This window comes from Homo sapiens, chromosome 1 (genome assembly GCF_000001405.40).
Source record: "Homo sapiens chromosome 1, GRCh38.p14 Primary Assembly".
In the NCBI taxonomy this organism is placed as follows: domain Eukaryota; kingdom Metazoa; phylum Chordata; class Mammalia; order Primates; family Hominidae; genus Homo; species Homo sapiens.
Window position 1 is genome coordinate 105,827,661 of NC_000001.11, and position 21,274 is coordinate 105,848,934.

A 21,274-nucleotide genomic window follows, 5' to 3' on the forward strand; every position below is an offset into this window, starting at 1 on the left:
CATTGTGACAACGTGGATGGAATTGGAGAACATTACACTAAGTGAAATAAGCCATGCACAGAAAGACAATAACATGTTCTCAGTTCTGTGTGGAATCTAAAATAATCAACCCCAGAAGCAGAGAGCAGAATGGTGGTTTACCAGAGACCAATGGGAGTTAGGGGTTTGGGAGTGGGTGATGGAGAAAATAGGGAAATTATGGTCAAAGGGTAGAACGCTTTAATTAGACAGGAGCAATCAGTTTATTTATTTATTTTTTGAAGCTATGTTGAACAGCATGGTGAATGTGGTAAATAATAATGTATTGTATATTTCAAAATCACTAAGTAAATTTCAAATGTTGTCACCACAAAAAAAGATAGGTATTTGAAGTGACAAATGTGTTAATTAAATTAATTATTTCACATTGCATTCATATCACTTTGTACTCCAGAAATACATACAAACATAATTTTTCAATTTACAATTAAAAAATAAGAAAAAAGAAAAAAAGCAAATATAATAATAAGTAGGCAAGTAGTATATGGTTGTAACCGTACTTTTGAATTTCTGTGGTTTTTCTTTCTTTTCTATTTTTTAATATTTTTAAGCACACAAGGAGAGTTGGGTAGTGTATAATACCTTCGTGTCTTCTTCAAGTACTCTTCTTAAACCCCTACCCCAGAGTCTAAATTCTGTTCTTCCTTAAGGTTAATGTGTACCTTCTAGTTTAAAAAGTAAAAAGCCTTTACCAGTGGCTTTGGCTCATACCCTACATGTGTGAAGTTCTAAGAGAGTATATATTTAAAGTAATTGCATTATGTATTATTACAACAAAAATTTATCAATGACTTTTTATGTGGTAAATTCTGAAATTTTAAGATAAAATACAGAATAATTGTGAGATAGCTCATAAATTAGTTGAGAAACAAAGACACCACTTCAACCAAATGTAAAAATGCTTTAAACAAGTAAAAACACTTTTATGTTGGGGGTCCAGAATACATAAAACATAGATGGGGATAGGGAGGGTTAGAACATTTTATGAACGATTGATTTTTGAAGGATGAATTGAATTTTACTGTTAAAGAATGCAGTATAAAAGGCAGAATAAGTGTAATGTAAAAATGCATTCTTTTAGAAAAAAATAGAGTATCGAATGAGATACGAATTTTTCCATAGAACTAAAACATAAAGTTCAAGATGGCAAGTAGAAATAGATGAGGCTAACGTGACAGGAAGCTGCCAAGTCACAGAGGGATGGAAATGTAAAAATAATTGTAACTTCCTTTTAAGGAAGATGGAGAAAATTGAATAACTTTAATCTGTGGATATAACTAGCTCAAAATTTTGATATATGATATAATGGTATAACCAGCTTAGCATTTTAGCAAGGTCAAGCTGGCAACTGTGTATGAACTTGAAGTGGATGAAGAATAGAGAAAAATGCTAGATAGGAGGCTGTTGGAATAATTTAAAAGGAAGATGATAAAGGTTTGACTGAGGTGATAATGGAATGGATAAAATAGAGTAAATTATAAGGACTGTAGTAATGATACCTAATCCTGTGTGTATAATAAAGTGCTCATTGTGTGCCAGAGTTTATTCTAAGTGTGTGTGTGTTTACTTATTTAATGTTCACAAAATATATGCACTAGGTACTGTTATTCTTCACAATTTATAGATGAGAATACTAAAGCAAGGAGACAATTAAATCACTCAGGATCAAATAGCTAGAAAGAAAGATCTGGAACCAAGATTTGAAGTCCAACATTTTTGCTCCAGAGTCCTAAGAACTACTATGCCATATTGACTTGCTTAGTAGTGGAGACATCGGACAAAGGACAAATAGAAAGAGTTTATTCACTAATTAGAATGGATTGCAAAAAAAAGAGACAATTTATCACATACATTTAGCTTGTGGAAGAAATTAGGTCATTACTTTATGTTAACTACATATGTGAAGGAAAAGCCTGTTTATTTAAGGGTCATAAGGCCGTAACCAGGAGCTGAACCTTTCTGGTGGTAACTTATTCCAATTCCTGAAAGAGTATATGTGAAAAAAAAGAAAGAAATACTCAAAGAATTGCTTAGAATTACTTTACAAATTAAAGACTACAAATGACTGTAATTATAATTGCTGCCGACCAGTACACGCAAAAAAACATTATTCTTTTTCATTGATACTATGAAAATAGCTGACTCCCTTAAATCATATTTCCCTTGATTCCTAGAAAAATGACTCAAAAATGCAAACACAATGTCATTCTTGCCACCTTGTCCGTTTACTTAGTAACCAGCGAATAACTGAAGAAGGGCATGTAGTTAACCGTTTCTCTAAATTAATTCATGTGTACAAACAGGGTACAGATACACTTTAAACTGGTGCTCTGATAGTCAGTGTTCTCACAGATTTTTTATTAGAGCCTGAGGTGCTAATGTTAAACATCCCTAACACCTACAGTTGGGAAAGAGACCAGCAAATACTGTGAAATTCACAGAAATACAAAATTTCTTGTAGTAAAATAACTCTGCAAGAGAGATTTAAAAAGAATGTTCACGTCCTTAAAATAATTTGAGCACAAACTTGGCTATATCTGTGTAACTGTCATCTATGCTAGAAACAATGATATCATAACCTGTTTCCAGCGGCCCTCTGATTCTAAATTCTACCTATGAGCCGACCTAGATTTCCTGAGAACGCCCTCCGTGTGCTGGTTTGCCTGGCTGCTCCTCCCTCCAGTTTCAGAGCTCCTTGTTCATCAAACTTACCTACCTGCTTACTCTGAATTTTCTCCCCCCAGTTCAGTACTTTTCGGAGAACTAGGTTACAGGTACATGTCTTATCAACACTCTATGCAGACAGCTATAGTGAACACTACTTTTGTACTGGTTGTAACTGTTTGCCATTTAATTTTAAATCTACCTTCTGGCCTTTAGGACCTGTCTAAATCTGTCTGCCAGGAAGGACAAGGAGCATTATCACCTCTTCACAGCCTTCATCACAGTGAAGAGCTTGAGGCTATGTGGATATCGTATTCTTTCAGCTTGTCTCCTAAAAACCCAGTCTGCCTTTGCTGTTTTCATTTTTTTCTACTTTTTTAATCTATCAGAGCAGTGTTGTACAGGATGTGGTTTGTGAGAGACCCAAGTCTGGGGCTCCAATTAGAAAGAGTTGAATGAAACTATAAGCCAGGATAACTGCAATCTGTCTACCATTAACGTCTTAGACTCCCAGTGTTGTCAGTGTTGAATAGGTGAGGCGTATAGGGAAAAGTAAAAAGACTTGTTTAGTCACTCTTGGTATGTAAGTTAGGCAAATTCAACTGCTTCCCCTTCCTGCTTCACAAGTAAGCTTTGGCATAGATCCTCCCTCATAACTATCATACTACAAATATGGCATATTTTACAACACTGCTCTCTTATTACTATTTAAAAAAATTAAAACAGTTTAAATTTTTTAACTGTAATAAGTAACACAAATGAGGTCACATTGGATAATATACCACCTTTAAAACAACAGGAAAATTATATTTTATGTCTATGAATCCAAATGAAACCTATTTAGATGCTTTTCAGTTGTAATCCACAAACTACACAGTAAGAAAAACGGACTAGGGTATTTATTTTTATTTAATTTCTCATTATCCTTTGTTTGAATGACTTTGATTTTTTGTTTAGATAATGCTTTAATACGATATTTTTTTACTGCCATTACAGCCACCTGTTCCTATTTGCTAAGATTCAATGAGAAAATATTAGCACTGTTTTAGTCAGGATATTCCCAAGAAACAGGAGCAATGGGGTGTGTGTGTGTGTGTGTGTGTGTGAGAGAGAGAGAGAGAGAGATTGTGTGTGTGTGTGTATATGTGCATAGAAAGAGAGAGAGAAAGATTAAGATTTATTTTAAGGAATTGGCTCCCATGATTGTGAAAGTTTGAAAGTAAAAACTGTGGAGTAGGACAGTAGGCTGGAGACACAGGATGAGCTGCAATGGGGGTTCAAAGGCAGTTTTCTGGCAGAATTCTTTCTTGTTCCAAGGATGGGGTGGGCTCTTTGTTCTATTAAGGATTTCAACTGTTCAGATGAGGTCCACCCACATTATGAAGGCAATCTGCTATACTCAAAATTCACCAATTAAGATACTAATCTCTTCCACAACACACCTTCACAGGCACATCCAGAGTAACATTTAACAAAATATGTTGTCACCGTGATCCAGCCACACTGACATACAATTAACATTATAGTCACCATGTAGATTTCAAAAATGAATAAATAAATAATAGCATATATTCATCTGTCAGAATTCTTAATTATACTGTTTATTAAAATATATGGTACAGTTAGTTTCCCCTTACCTTCTAGAATTTTTTTCCCTTATGGAAACATTTTTGGTCACTTTATATTCTATGGCTGTTTCAGTTCAATTCAACTAAATTAAACATATGCCCACAAGCAATATAGGGTAAAGTCAGAACTAATATTTTTCTTTATTAAGAAGGGAGACGATGTCTCTCTCTCTTTTCTTATAATTTTTAACAATTTGCCAAATTGCAAAGTGCATTAAAACATTCTTAGATATTGCCAAAAATTCCTAATTTACCTAGACCTACTAACTCTGGCTGAATGATGATAAATTTAATAAGCTGTGGAACACATCGGTTTCTCTCGTGAGATGATTTTTAAACATCCTATCCTTGTTAATTTTCCTGAGAAATAACCTACATTGTCTACAGATTTTTAACATAATTTAGTAAATGTATAAAAAATGAACACAATTTCCTAAATATACTGTATTTATTTTAAATTTTAGTTTATTTTCTGAGAAAATGGAGAGGTTCAAATGATTATCTCTAAAGTCCCTTATGTTCTCAATGTTCTATCCTTCCCTATCTTCAGCATCATCAGACCACATATGAGGCCAGAGGGTGACCTGTGTTAAGTCCGAGGTGTATGGTAATAACAGCTGCCGTTTACTGAGGACGTTAGTAAGTGTTTTCCATACACATCTCTCATAATCTATTCAGCAAATCTATGGAGCAGATATTATTATGAAGCAATATAAATTATTGTTGTCATACAGCTACCATTTTAAAGGGTAAAGGGAAAACAGGCACCTTAACCAAGAAAAGTAAATTCTATCTCTAAGGTTACTAAAACTGCCGAAGACTTAGTTACTGTAACTGTGAGAAGTTACTTTTTTATATAAGCACTTCTTAATATTTTCTTCATTACTTGACTAACTTAGATATTGCCCATCAAAGTAATTGCCCATTTCTGGTACTAAATTGATCAATCACATCGTGTAAAAATTATTATTCTCAACTTTTCTCAAAGACGTTAATCTCTGCTTGATATTCAGGTCTTTTTACAAAATATAACACTTCAGTTTGTCATTTCTTCATATGCTTGCTGTGGTAAGTAAGCTGATTTATTGCTGAGGAATACTAGGATCACTATTTGTAAAATAATTGATAGTTATAAATCTCATAATAATTAACTTTTACTTGAAAGTTCAAGCCACTCAGAAGTGTGAGAAGGAATTGCTTTAAAATAATGATTAAGTCATTTAGTTTTTAACAATAAAAATAGTCCTGCAACAAGTTGAATGCTCACATATAATTAGGTCAAGATAAAACAATCTGTCTCCTCTAGGGATGACTGATTCCTCTTCAGCCTTCTTAATTAGTAGTTTTCTAAATTTTCTGCTTCCGGGCTAACATACATTGGGGAAAGGGCACCCTTTTCAATAATTGGTTCGGGAAAAAATGGAAAATCCGATGTGGAAGACTAAAACTGGACCTCTATTTCTCACCATATACAAAAATAAACTCAACATGGATTAAAGACGTACACATATGACTCAAAACCATAAAACTTCTAGAGGAAAACATACGGAAAGCACTTCAGGACGTTGGTCTAGATAAAGATTTTATAGCTTAGACCTCAGAAGCACAGGCAACAAAAACAAAAAAATAGACAAATGAGACTGTATTGAACTAAAAATCTTCTGCAAAGCCAAGAACACCATCAATACAATTAAGAGACAACTTGTTGAATGGGAGAACACATTTGCAAACTATTCATCTGACAAGAGACTAATATCCAGAATATATAAGTAATTCAAACAACTCAATAGAAAAAAACACAAGATATCCAATAAAAAGTAGCCAAAGGACATGAATAAACATTTCTCAAAAGAAGATCTACAAATGACCAACAGGTATAAGAAAAAATGTTCAACATCACTAATCATCTGAAAAATGCTGAGTCAAAACCATAATGTGATATCATCTCATCTCAGTTAGTATGGCAATTAAAAAGACACAATTAACAGATGCTCGTGAGGATCCAGATAAGAGGGAACTCTCATACTTTATTGATGGGAATGTAAATCGGTATAACCACTGTGGAAAAAATATAGAGATTTCTCAAAATACTAAAATTAGCAGTACCATATGATCCAACAATGCCACCACTGGATATTTATCCAAAAAAATAAAAATAAAACATTCCATAAAGGGATACCTGTACTCTCATGTTTATTGCAACATTAGTCACAATATGAAATATATGGAATCAACCTATATCAGTTCATGTGCCTATCAGTTGATGAATGAATAAAGAAAATCTGGTGTATATACACAATGGAATACTCTTTGACCATAAAAAAAAGAGAAATCATCTTATTTGCTACAGTATGGATGGTACTGGAACTCATCATATTAAGTAAAATAATACAAGCACAGAAGGACAAATATAGCTTGCTATCACTCCTAAGTGGCAGCTAAAAATGTTTATCTCATAGAACTAGAGAATATAACGGTAGATAACAGAAGTTGGGATGGTTGTGTGGGTGGGGATGGAGGGGATAAAGTGAAGGTGGTTAAGAGGTATAAACATACAGCTGGATAGAAGGAATAATTTCCAACGTTTGATAGCAGAGTAGAGTGACTATAGTTAGCAATAATGTATATGTATTTCAAAACTGGAAGAGAGGGCTGAAATGTTCCCAACACACAGAAATGATAGATACTTGAGGTGATGGATACCCCCAAATACCCTGACTTGATCCTTACATGATGAATGCATGTAACAAACAAAATATCACATATAGATATCATATATCACATAGATATATATGTAGAAATATGTATTGAAAGAAAGAAAAAGAAAGAAAGGAAAGAAAGAAGAAAGGAAGGAAAAAGGTGGAAGAAGTGAAGAGAAAACACGAAAACATTCTGAATACAAAAGTAAGTAATGGCATTATAAAATAAATTTGAAAATTAATTACTTAAAATAAGGAAAGAGTTCTAATGCACTGTGAAAATTATATTCTAACTTTGTACAGCAATCAAATAAATATATAATGGGAGACAAAAAAGAATTTTAAAATGAGATATGAAACTTGGAAGAGATGACAGATGAGAAAAAATCATCACCAACGTAAGTACCATTTATGTTTTTATGGGTCATTTGAATAAAATAATTACTGGAGGTAAATTACAAATAAATAAGCAGACCAACAAATCTAGGAGAAAAAGAAAGCAAAAATTTAAATCACAAAATAATACAAATTATTAATAGGCAAATGGGAATATCACAGACATTATAGAAGTTATAATGTTTTAGAAATAATTCAGTATTCATTTTTGTTTAAAATGAAATCTTTAAAAATTAATGTAAATCCCATAAATGATTTAAAGCTCTCTTTAAGTCAGTAGAGAACATTTTATTTAATGAAGAAACATTAAGGAATCTCAGTAATATCTGAATTACATCAAAAATAATCATTCTCACAATTATCACTTTTTCTGGAAATTATAGCTGAATGCAATACATGACAAAATTGTATATATAATAATATATATAGACAAAAACATACACATATATTTATACACACAGTAAAAGAAATGTGTGTCTTTATGTGTGTGCATACAGGAAATAAAAATCATCATAATTTGCAAATGATATTAGAGAAAATAAAATACAAAAAAAAAATTGAAAAACTCAAGATGGTCTCTAGTATGTAACCAAGTATTCCCAAATCAGTTATTCCAATATTACAGTAAATATCTGTTTAAATATGATATTTTTTAAAAGTATGAAACAATGAAAAAATGTAAAATAAATAGAAATAAAATTAGTAGGAAAGGCTCTGGATCAGGATAAAGAAAACTAAAATTTTACTGAAGTGCATAAATAACAATTTGATAAGTAAAGAAATACACAAATATCCCGATTTGAAAAATAAATATATTTGAAAAATAAATATATTAAAAATGTTCATTATTTTAAAATAAATTTATAAATTACAGTGCATGATTAACAGAATCTATAACAGAGTACATAATTATGAAATATTCCTAGAGCTTATATATAAAAAGGTAGCCAAGATATTGTTGAAAAAAATAGAATGATTCACATTATCAACTAAAAAAAGTACTATAAAACTTCCATAAGGAAAAGGTTTTAATAGTATCAAAATAATTGTCTTAAGATAATTTTAAAAATAGACAAAAACATGTAAATCTATCTTTTTATATTACTAAAGTAGGAAATGTTATCATTGAGGATAAAATGAATTATTGTGTAAATGATTAGACAACTGTTTAAATATTTAGAATACAAAGTTTCATTTCTTATCCTCCCATGCCTGCTCCCCCACATGTAAATCACAGAACTAAAGTGCCAAAACTTAAAAAAAAGTATGAAATGATCATAATTGAATATATATCTCATATCAGTCTTACATCCATAATATATTTTCTGAAATATCGTATCTATTATAATTCTGTTTCAGAAAAATATTTAGTTACATAGAAAGTTATTTGCAACATGTTAAAGAATAGTTTATATAAATATATCAATAACAATTATTTATCAGGGATCGAATTTTTAGACATTTTTACATTCTTTAATTTCTTCTGTATTTTGTAAAATTTTTACAATGTATATATGAAATTTTAAAAAATTGTAAATGAATATATTTGCTTCTTTAAATAGATAAAATATTTTTCTTTTGCACTACACTATGTCATAAAATGTATATATATTACAGGTATAGTGATCTATAACTAGCCTTCTATTTAATATCTGTTCCACATAATAGATGAGTAAATAAAAGCAAAAAAAGAAACAACACACTGATGAACTGAGTTTTTATTACACTATCTCTAAAGCAATCATCTCTTCTCTAGTATTTAATCTTTTAGCCCCACTTGTAAGGTCAAGTCTTTTTTGCTTAGTCTCATTTATTGTTTGATATCTGTCAAATTCTGAGAATGTGAGTAGGTTGCAAGGTGAAGCAAGATTTTTGCAGGAGAAGCAAGATTTAATGACACTAGTGTTGTACTCTAACTATTAATGAACAAATGATACCCTGGCTGAGTTAGACACATTCTGACACCCAGAAGGAGATGATGTAGTCAACAATTCAGAACATATTTAAATATAAAGAAATAAATTTGAGAATATTTATTTATTTTTATTTCAGGATTTAATACAATTACAACATTTTCATACAATATAGTATAAAAATTATTTTTCCTATAAGGTCCTTTAATGACCCTCTTCCTATATCAGAAGTATTTAGGTAAATACATATTAGGTAACTGGAACTTTTCAAATTTAAAATTCCATGAAGTATTCATTACATGAACTTTCTATGTAAGATACAGGATAAAATATTCTCTTGTATATACTTGATCACTTCTATATACCTTTTGTCCCACAATGGAATGTAAGCTTGTTGAGTTTGCCTATTTTGTTTTTGTATTCTACAACAATGCCATTAGAGACATTTAAGTATTTATTGAGTAAAATAGCTAGTTAGTAGCATAATTTAAACAGCACAAAAAGGAATTTCATGTGCAATCGATTTTTTTTGAGGGAATATCTGCAAAGGATAAAAGAAAGAAGAGTATGCAGGGAGAAACAACAGCTTATGATACTGTTCTGTTACCAGTGAAATGGACAGAAAGGGAAGCATTGGGTAAGAATATTAGACTACAACACATTTCTAAGAAAGTTTCAGCTAGGCAAACAAGCACTCCCTGAGTTAACATTGCTCAATTGAGAAGTTCTGAATCCCATCCTAATGGGCTGGCACTAGTATCTCCATTGGGCTTAGTTATTGGTTGAGAGCAAGCCAGGTTATACATGGCCTTGAAACAAAATTATGATTACTCCAAAAGAAAAGTGGCTGGGGCTATGAATCAATTATGCTCCCTGTAGCAGTTTCCCGTGAAGGAGAACTTAAATGCTAATTCTGATAGCAATAAAACAATATTTAAAAAATACATATTAACAGGTGAACATTTGATCAATGAAGAAATAAACAAAAGTCAACTTTCTATGATATATACATATATCAAAACATCACATTTACTTACCCAGTGAATATACACAACAATTGTCAATTAAAAAAATAAATACATGTATTTTTTAAAAGTTGACTTTCTGATGGCACCAAAATTCCATACACTGTGGTTAGGCTTTGTGTCTCCACTCAAATCTCATCTTGAATTTTAATCCCCATAATTACCCAAATCCCTATGTGTCAAGGGAGAGACCAGGAGGAAGTAATTAGATCATGGGGGCAGTTTCCCCCATGCTGTTCTCATGATAGTGAGTTCTCATGAGATCTGATGGTTTTATAAGTATTTGGTACTTCCTCTTGTGGTCATTCTCCTTCCTGATGCCTTGTGAAGGTTGTTTGCTTCCCCTTTGCCTTCCACCATGATTGTAAATTTCCTGATACCCCCACCCCCAGACATGCTAAACTGTGGGTCAATTAAACCTCTTTCCTTTTTATACCCAGTCTCAGGTCGTTCTTTATAGCAGTGTGTAAACAGGCTAATAGAGTAAATTGATACCACAGAAAGTGGGGTACTGCTATTAAGATACCCATAAATATGGAAGGGATATTGGAACTGTAACAGACAGAGGCTGGAACAGTTTGGAGGGCTCAGAAGAAGACAAAAAAATGTGGGAAAGTTTGAATCTTTGTAGAAACTTGGAGGGCTCAGAAGACAGGAAGATATGAAAACATTTGGAACTTCCTTGAGACTTGTTGAATGGCTTTGACCAAAATGCTGATAGTGATATGGACAATGAACAGCTGAGGTGGCCTCAGATGGGGATGAGGAACTTGTTGGGAACTGGAATAAAGGTGACTCTTGCTATGCTTTTGCAAAGACACTGGTGGCATTTTGACCCTGCCCTAGAGATCTGTGGAACTTCCACCTTGAGAGAGATAATTTAGGGTATCGGGCAGAGGAAATTTCTAAGCAGCAAAGAAATCAAGAGGTAACCTGATGCTCTTAAAAGCATTCAGTTTTATGTATTCACAAAGAGATGGTTTGAAATTGGAACTTATGTTTAAAAGGGAAGCAGAGAACAAAAGTTTGAAAAAATTGCAGCCTGAAGATGTGGTAGAAAAGAAAAATCAATTTTCTGGGGAGAAATTCAAGCCAGCTGCAGGAATTTGCAAAAATAACGAGGAACAGAATGTTAATCACCAAGACAATGGGAAAAACATCAGGGCATGTCAGAGACCTTCTCAGCAGCCCCTCCTCTCACAGGCCTGAGGCCTAGGAGGTAAAAATGGTTTCATGGGCCTGGGCCTTGCTGCTCTGTGCAGCCTAGGGACTTGGTTTTCTGTGTCCTAGCTACTCCAGCAACAGCCATGGCTAAAAAGGCCAAGGTACAGCTTGGGCCATTGCTTCAGTGGGGTGCAAGCCCCAAGCCTTGGTAGCTTCTGTGGTGTTGGTCCTGCCAGTACATGGAAGACAAGAATTGAGATTTGGATATCTACACCTAGATATCAGAAGTTGTATGGAAATTTCTGGATATCTAGGCAGAAACTATCAGAGGTGGAGATCTCATGGAGAATTTCTGCTAGAACAGTGCAAAAGGGGAATGTGGGATTGGAGCCCCCACACATAGTACTCACTGGAGCACTGCCTATTGGAGCTGTGGGAAGTGGGCCACTGTCCTCCAGAACCCGGAATAGTAGATCTACTGACAGCTTTCCACCTGGAAAAGCCACAGACACTGACCACCAGCAGTGAAAGCAGCTGGGAGGGGCATTGTACCCTGCAAAGCCACAGGGGTGGAGCTGCCCAAAGTCCTGCGGTGCTCATCTCTTGCTTCAGCATGATCTGAATGTGAGACACGGAGTCAAAGGAGATCATTTTGGATCTTTACAATTTTATGACTCCCCAGATGGATTTCAGAATCGCATGGGACCTGTAGCCCCTTTGTTTTGGCTAATTTCTCCCATTTGGAACAGGAACATTTACTCAATGCTTGTACCTGCATTGTGTCTTGAAAGTAACTAATTTGCTTTGGATTTTATAGGCTCCTAGGTGGAAGGGTCTTGTCTTGTCTCAGATGTTACTTTGGACTTGAACTTTGGGGTTAATGCTGGAATGAATTATTCCCCAAATCCCCCAAAGAGTTTGGGGGACAGTTGGGAAGGCAGGATTGGTTTTGTAATGTGAAAGAGACATGAGATTTGGGAGGGGTCGGGGCAGAATGGTATGAGGAGGCTTTGTGCCCCATGAAAGTCAAATCATGAATTATAATCCCCATAATCTCCAAGTATGAAGGAAGAGAATAAGTCGAGGTAATAGGATCATGGGGACATTTTCCCCCATATTATTCTCATGATGGTGAGTGAATTCTCATGAGATCTGATGGTTTTATAAGTATTTTGTAGTTTCTCTTGTGGTCATTCTCCTTGCTGCCTTGTGGAGAAGGTGCCTTGCTTCCCCTTCGCCTTCTGCCATAATGGTAAATTTCCTGAGGCCTCCCCAGCCAGGCTAAAATGTGAGTCAATTAATCTTTCCTTTACCAATTACCCAGACTCACGCAGTTCTTTATAGCAGTGTGAAAATGGACTAATGCACCATATTTGATAGTCTGATTTTTAAAGATTACTGTTATGTAAAACACATGTTAAGTGTTATGTGTCATCGTAACTAGACTGAGCTAAACTTTTGAGAAGTTCCTATCTTATATGTTTCTAATGTGGACACATTAGAAGATTGTTAGGAGAAGGTTCTTGGGAGATTTGGAGGGTAAATGGAAGGTAGCAACCATTTTCTCTCTCTCTCTCGTGTGTGTTCTCTGTGTAAGTCACACACACACACAGACACACACGCATGTTTGTTGATCTGATGACTCATTTCAATGCCATGAAGCAGTAGCTGGATGTGTAACTGCTCTACCTATTCTTGTGTTTTCCTTCAGCATGTTTGACTCCTTGGAAAGGTTCAGTTTTCTAACACAAGGCCCCTGCTTCTGCATGATACTCTTAATGCCAAAGTCAAAGGCAAGAAGAATGGCTGGTTTCAGTTTAGGGTTCCAGTTTATTCTGTCATTGCTGCCTGCCTTTGATATTCCTCCTTCACATCTATCAGCTGCTTACCCTGCAACTTCAAGATTACACATCAGATGTGGATACAAAAAGCATTATAAAGGCTTTTTAACAACCTCCTGTGATTGTATGAGGCTGATTTCCTGCAACAAAAATATGTAATATATAACCAAGTGGTTTTGCTCTTCTGGTTGAACAATGGCTGCCGGCTGATACAATAGGGATATTGTTTGGGCCACAATGCTTTATTATATAACAAAATATAACTTGAAACCTGGGACGAAATAGAAGACAGAGATGATTACTTATTATGTGTTTTTCAGGAAGAAAAAGCTGATATGCCTTTAATAATTTCCTATTATATTTTAAGAATATTCTTTGTCATGTTTCATTCTTGTCTTTTGGTACCTAGCCCACATTTAGTAATAAGTAATAACCCAGAAACTTCACATTGCACTGGAACATCAAAATAACAAAGTCCATGACAAGATGAAGGCCACACTTTGTTTAACATCTGTTATACTACTATTTTCTCATTCTTCACCTTTCTTTCACTTGGTGGCCCTCTCCTAAAGACACACATATTCCCCCAGCTGTCTATTCTTTTGTACCTTCTAAAACATATAGGCAAAATATTTAAATCTGTTGAATTTAGGCAGAGAGGATTTTTTTTAATTCACATCTTAAGGTCATTTTATAATACAAAGTAAGAGTAAAGAAAACACATCTAATTTTATTTCATACATCAAATACTTCAAGAATTGTGATGTTTTTCTATGAAGTGTCTTCTCAATAAAAATGATTCAACAAGTGACAAGTTACTTTTATTTTTAGAGATTCTTACAATTTATAACACATAAAAAATTTATAAATGTATTAACTTTCATCTTCAAATCAGCTGTTTTGGCTGTTCCAGGATAATGGAGGTAGGTTTCATAAATATGTTTCCTTTGCTAGCTGACATTGTGTTAAGCCATGTTAGTAGAGGGTGCTCAAGAAACACAAGAGGAGGAGGGGGATTTTTCTTCCTGATGCCACTGTGTCTCACTTTCCAGATTTCTAAGGAATGTGCTTTTTCCAGCACTTGTCTCCTTAACCTACACAGTTTTCTCTACCTCTAGGCACCTGCAATGCACACTTCCTACAAAACTTGGCTTATGCAAAGTGCATAGCTTCTTTTCTGCTAGTTTCCTGAAGGGCACAGCTTTCTCTAGCACCTGACTTCAGCACAGTGTATTTTCTCAAGCATCCAGCCCCTGAAGATATGCCCCCACTATCTGGTTTCTTCTGATAGCAGCAGAAAGAAACACTCATCAGCCTGCAAATTCTCCCTGTCATCTCTCTTGGAAGCTTTGCAGTGGAATGCCACAGATGAGGCACATTCACACGAACAGACTCCCCAGCATCCATACAAGGGACAGTAAAGTGAGGGTTTTTTTGTTTGTTTATTTTTTTGTTTTGTTTTGTTTTTTATACTTTAAGTTCTAGGGTACATGTGCACAACGTGCAGCTTTGTTACATATGTATACATGTGCCATGTTGGTGTGCTGTACCTGATAACTCATCATTTACATTAGGTATATCCCCCAGTGCTATCCCTCCCTCCTCCTCCCACCCCCTGACAGGCCCCGGTGTGTGATGTTCTCCACCCTCTGTCCAAGTGTTCTCATTGCTCGATTCCCACCTATGAGTGAGAACATGCAGTGTTTGGTTTTCTGTCCTTGCGATAGTTTGCTCAGAATGATGGTTTCCAGCTTCTTCCATGTTCTAGTAAAGTGAGTTTTAAGGCCCATCCCCTCTCCGTGGATGAGTTTCTCTTACAACCCAGAAAAAAAAAAATGTAGCAAGTTATACCACCGAGTCACCTCCGTATCTTATGTGGCATCTTGTGATTTGAGGATATGACTCCTCCAAAAAGATCTCAGTTCCAGTCTTGACATGATGAGGAAGTCTCTTTCTTAGGTCCTTTTATTCCAGCCTCATGAGCAGTAGCTAATTCCTACACCTGCTTTTTCTGTGTTCTTTAATGCTCTTTTTAACTCTTGTTAGCCAATTCACCATTCTCCAATCTCCTGTCAATTATTCTTTATATTAAAGATTTTATATTCAAATTACCTCATGGTTTCTCCCCACTACTTAACCTTAACAGATACAGAATTGATACCTAGATTAGTTTCAGTACATTGACTCACAAAGATGGAAATTCGTGATTGGCTTGTTTGCACCCATAAATGCAATGTTGGCCTTCATATCCATGGAAAATGGGATGTTAGTAATCACATCATGTAATAACATCACAGTTCATGAAGTTATCATTTGTGGTTACATGTAATAAAATACAAACTGAAGCACACGCTTTGGAAGTGCAACTGGATGCTTGCACTTGATGTTTATGGTGGTAGTATGGCCACACACCATGTGATAATAGATGGATTTTTTGCATAAATTTGAGTAATTATACAAATAGAATGACAAGAACGGGTACATTAACTCTCAACTCTATTCACAGTCTGAGGACCAGAGAGTTTTCATGACCACCCGAAAACAATCTCTTATTTTTTGTTGGCCATAGAGCTAATATTGCTGAAAATTGAAAAGAAAAATTAATGTGCATGCTACTGATATATAATATGTAAATACACAGCTTTGCCAAATTTTCACATGAAAGTTAGGCATTCCTTTCTTAATAATGTGATCCTGAAACTTGAAATAAAGGTATATATTTTAAAATACACATATACATATTTGTATACCGATTCATAGATTTTAGTAATTTTCTTAGTGCAAATAGTTCTTTCAGAGCTGATTTCAAGCCACTAATGTGAAGTCACTAAAAACAGAGTTGGAATGAGTTGTGCAAAATCAGCACTGTCTGGCTGGTATGAACATCTCCTGCACATCAAGGATTCCACTCCAACAATGCATGTTAAGAGACTCCCAGGGTTGATCTCAATGGTACGGTTATCAAATATTTGTGTAAGGACTTGCTAAACTCTAAGGTTAAATACGCATAGCCACAAGACATTTTGTAAAATAGAAGAAAATGAAGAGAAATTCTCAATATAAAGAAAGAAAAATAGTATATATATATATATATATTTGATAAAATACAAAAATTATAAACGAACTAATTGTTTGATAACTGACCATAATTCTTAGATGTTTGGACCTGCTTTAATTTACATGTTGACCACAATGTTTGATATCATTTCAAGCCACGGGTCAGACAGACATATAAATGAACACTGGCATATGTACAGACTGTTGGTATTGATATGAAATGTAGGATAATATAATTTGATGTAGAGATATAAAGATTTAGAGAGCTGAAATCACTCAACCCCCAAAAGTATATCATACGTGCTGAAATTTATATTTTTAGTTCGTACTCTGTGATTTGACTTAAGCAATCCACTTCTATTTTAATTACCACCGATTTTAATAACTTACAATTCAATCTAATTTCAATCTACATAGAACTATCATATATTTTACCTTAAATTAAAAATATTATACCCCAAACCAAATCGATCTAAATTCCCTTTGAAAATAGAAAGAAGTGTGCATTATTTAAGAATAAAGAAAAAGCCTGGAAGCTTATGGTAAGCAAATATGTAAATATATCAATAAATAAAAAATAATGTTCAACAGGCAATATAGGGGATATACAAAAGATAACAGCCATGCCACATCTTTGTGCAACTCCTGCTGTGGATAAATACAAATTATCCAACAGTCAGAAAATCAAACATGTACTTTAATCATCTTTTACAAGAATATTTGTGCATTTCTAAGAAAGATTTTCTGGAAACATACAAACTAATGCCTGCAAATTAATGTTGTATAGAGTCTTGAGCTCTCTCTCTGTCACAAGATTATAAAAGCTCGATTAAATAACAAACAAGGGGTTTTGCCGGGGATGAATTTAATCTGAGAACTACAAGAGAGAGCACTGTCTCTTCTGAGTATATCTTTACCTCAAATAATTTCAAATTTCCTCAAAGAATTATGTTGTGTTGGCATATTTTGATGTACTAGAAGAGCTCCAAATTGAATGTGCTAGGGAGTTTTAGGAAAAAGAAAAATAATCAGAAACACATGCAACAAAGGGAATTGTGAATGGAAAGCCAAGCATGACCTTTCACTGTGGCTGGTACGTCCCCTAATGCTGCACTTTGGATGGCATTCTTCAGGGCCATTTCAAGTGCTCCAGTTAAAGTAGAACAGGTCTAAATCACTGGCACATAAAGTTTCTTTTAAAAGTGAATTTTCTGGTCACTAAGCAGGCAACCTTTAAGACCAGACTAAGCAGGTTGTTTTCTTCAATATGCAGCACACATTGAAAATGTGAAATATGAGGAAGACAAAGCTAGGGTTTATTTACTCATGTGGAAAAGGACAGGAGAATTCACAATAGAATTCTTATTATTCTATTTTCTTTTTATTGTCTATGTTTCAAGTACAGAAACCATCATTTTATTCCTAAAATCACCTACTCTGATCTTTTTTCTCTATTCTATTGTAGGGCTTTCTAATTTTTTTCACTCTTAAACAATCACCATGGACACATACCCTAGTTCTGTCGGTTTTTTATCTGATCTTTGCGTTTTACTGAATGCATTTTCAGATATATTTAAGAAAAGAAAAAGATTAATTTGTCAACTAATTGATTTGATTAACTGTAAGCAAGATTGATGCCTGTGATCTGCTTAAATAATGACAAACAGAGGCATAACCTGGAAGTCACCTTAGAGTTTAGAGTCTAGTGAAAAAGATTAATATTGCTCATATAGCTATTCAAGTTAATGTAACATTGCAAAATTAGCAAGTGCCATGAATAAGAGATAATTGGCACCATACAAGCATCTGTGAGGGTATTGATGCACTCAGGGAGGACAAGGAAGTTATCCCTTTGGAAATGGGTTATTGGCCTTGGGTGTGGATATGAATATGTTAACTGGAAGAAGAAGGAAGGTAAGAAACGCAGAAGTAACCACAAGTACAAAATTTTCATAGTGAGAGGGAGCAGGAGTGAAAAGAGAAAGGAGGCTTGAGAACTTAGTGCACCCTTTTGCATAAAATTTTAAATTGTGTTTAAAGAAATATTTTTTTCTTAAAAGAAAATGGGATACCATGGAGATCTTTTAATAAGTAAATACCAAATGATCATATGTTCGTTTCAAAATTATTTATCTAGCTGCAATGAGGATGAAAAATTTAAAGAAGGGAAGAACTGATACCATTTCATCACTTAGAAATTGTCAGGTAGTCTCAGAAAAGAGTATGTTTGCATGGAGCCCATTAGATTATGGAGATGGGGAGACATGTGTGGATTTGAATAATTCTTTTCTTGTGAAACCACAAGTATTAACATTTTGTTGATATGCAGTTAAAATGTATCTACTTATTTATTATCTGCCTACTTTAATATGTGGATGTGTGCGTTCTTTTTATCTATATTATCTACACCCTCAATTAGACAACACATGACTTAATGAAAATTAAAAATATATATATTTCATTTCATTCTGTTGTAAGTAAAGAAGGAGCTACAGATCTCTGTGTGTCAGGAAGCAAGTCGATTTCCATAATATCCACACCAATACCAACCCAATCTGCCTAAAATATCATCAGGAATATCCCCCCAGGATTACCAAATAAACTGCCTTCCCTAGACTTCCACGTATGCTAATATGTCTCCAATCCTAACATCTTTCCAGACTCCCAAAGATTTCCACTATGCCCTCTGAAATTCACAGTCTGTCATCTCCTATATCCTCAACCTCTTCTATGAACTTTTTAAAACATGTCTAATTAAAACCTAGCTTTCCACTAAGCAACTCGTCCTTCAGCCATAAAGTCTTCTAACTATTGGCCCTGACTTTGGAAAAGGTGTCCTCTTTGTTCCTCCAAATCATTGTTTTTCCCTTCTCTCTACAGTCCATCAGGTTTAAAGATCATGGATTGAAATTCAATATTCAGTATTCAAACTATAAATCTTGTTATTTTAAGTATAAGTAAAATATCTTTCAAATAATCTGTCATTTTGGAAATCTGACCTCTTCTCTCTTTTGGTCTTGCCCTTTATAGTACATGTCTTTGCTTGTAACTTATGATTCCTCTTACAAATAAAAGCATTTTCTTTAATTATGATCTCTGATGAGACCATTGAAAACTCTGTCCTTTTTCTCCCCTTTGCCCACTTGCAATTTTCAACTATTGACTTAGTTTCCAGCATTGTACAGCCCCTTTATATCCTCACTTGTTTCCTCATCCAGTCTACATGAATTATTATTATATTCATCCTTATTCTCTGTTATTCTGGCCTGGAAAAACAGCAGCCTTTCAAAATCCCATTTTCTGTCTACTCTCAAACTTCTCTAGGACAGCTAAACACAGTTGGAAAAAAATGACAACCTTGATGACTGTTCTCACTTTATATTCATGACCACCAACATCAAATAGACACCAATTCTATTTGATCCATCAATTCTAAGATATTTACAGAATATATATCTATTCTTATACAAACTCCTCTCTCTCTTTAAACTTTGATTATCTACCCTCCTTTCTTAAATCACAAGAAATAAAGGTGTTATCTATTTTCAAGGAGAAAATATATTTAATCAAGAGGCATTCCACCATCTCTCTCCAAAAATATATTACTATATTTGCATCTGTAAACATGCCCTCTGATACCCATTTTCTTAGAAAAGATGGCAGCTGGGTTTGACTTTTTCATAAACCCCAACCCCATCTTCCTCTTTTCTCCTTAAGGGTATCCCAAGAGCAATCCTTGCTTCTCTTTTTTTTTTTATCATTAATGTTAATCTATCTACTGGATTATTTCTATCAGCATACACACAGTACATAACACCTTCCTTCTTTAGTTACAGTCTCTCATCTCAATATCCTTCTGTAGCTATTGCTTCACTCTATACTCCGTTATATAGTTAATTGCTTTATAATTATGTTTTAAACCTATTACAACCAACTTTACTTGTCTCATTTCCTCTTGACCTCAGTTGAATCAAGGTTTTCTCATCATTCTATCAAATTGTTCTCATCAAGCTCAGCGTAACTTGCCACAATAGCAAATTATGGCATAATAATTTAGAATTCTTTCACTGATTATTTTTTCTTAAATTCCCAACCACCTTAATAAAAATCAGCTTAGATATTTGATATTTGATATACATTCACAAAGAAAATCTACTGATCTCCCAAATTTTTACATCTAATTATATGGTTTCTTAATTCTTCCAGTTATATATGCAAAACCATACAGTCATTGATATTTCCATCAGTCTGTTGTGTTTATTTTTACAACAAAATACTTAGGATTTTCTCTATGCATGTTGCAGTATACATTGAGCAACTATTTCTTCATCATGGGGTTTATAATACTCTAATCAAGGCATATAAATTTCTATGATTTAAAGGGGAATTGCCAACTACATTGGTCATACCTAAATATCTATCTGTTTTTCTAATTTTAAGACATATTTATTAGTTAATATCTCTATATATCCTAAGTGCACAAAAGTTTTAACTGTAATTAAAACAACCATGAAGAACACAGGTTTATGGAAGTGCTATAAATATAAAGCACACAAATTAGAATGCACAGACAAATACATTATTAAGAATAAAAATACTAGGAGAATTTTTTTTTTTTTTTTTTTTTTTTTTTACAGAGTCTCACTCTGTCACCCAGGCTGGAGTGCAGTGGCACAAGGCAATCAATCTCAACTCACTGCAACACCCCTCTCCTGGGTTCAAGTGATTCTCATCCCTTAGCCTCCCAAGTAGCTGGGATTACAGGTGTGTGCCACCATGCCTGGCTACTTTTTACTTTTTAGTAGAAATGGAGTTTTGCCATGTTGTCCAAGTTGATCTTGAACTCCT

At 34.1% G+C, this 21,274-nt stretch overlaps 1 long non-coding RNA gene across 1 annotated transcript in view; it reads left to right on the forward strand.

Annotated features, from left to right (window-relative positions):
• The first annotated feature begins 2,698 nt into the window (after positions 1-2,698).
• Positions 2,699-21,274, forward strand: part of LOC105378883 (uncharacterized) — a 29,116-nt gene continuing 10,540 nt past the window's right edge. The window contains exons 1-2 of the long non-coding RNA XR_947660.1: positions 2,699-2,813; positions 4,882-4,970. This is a non-coding gene — a long non-coding RNA (uncharacterized LOC105378883). The remainder of the gene's footprint in view (positions 2,814-4,881; positions 4,971-21,274) is intronic.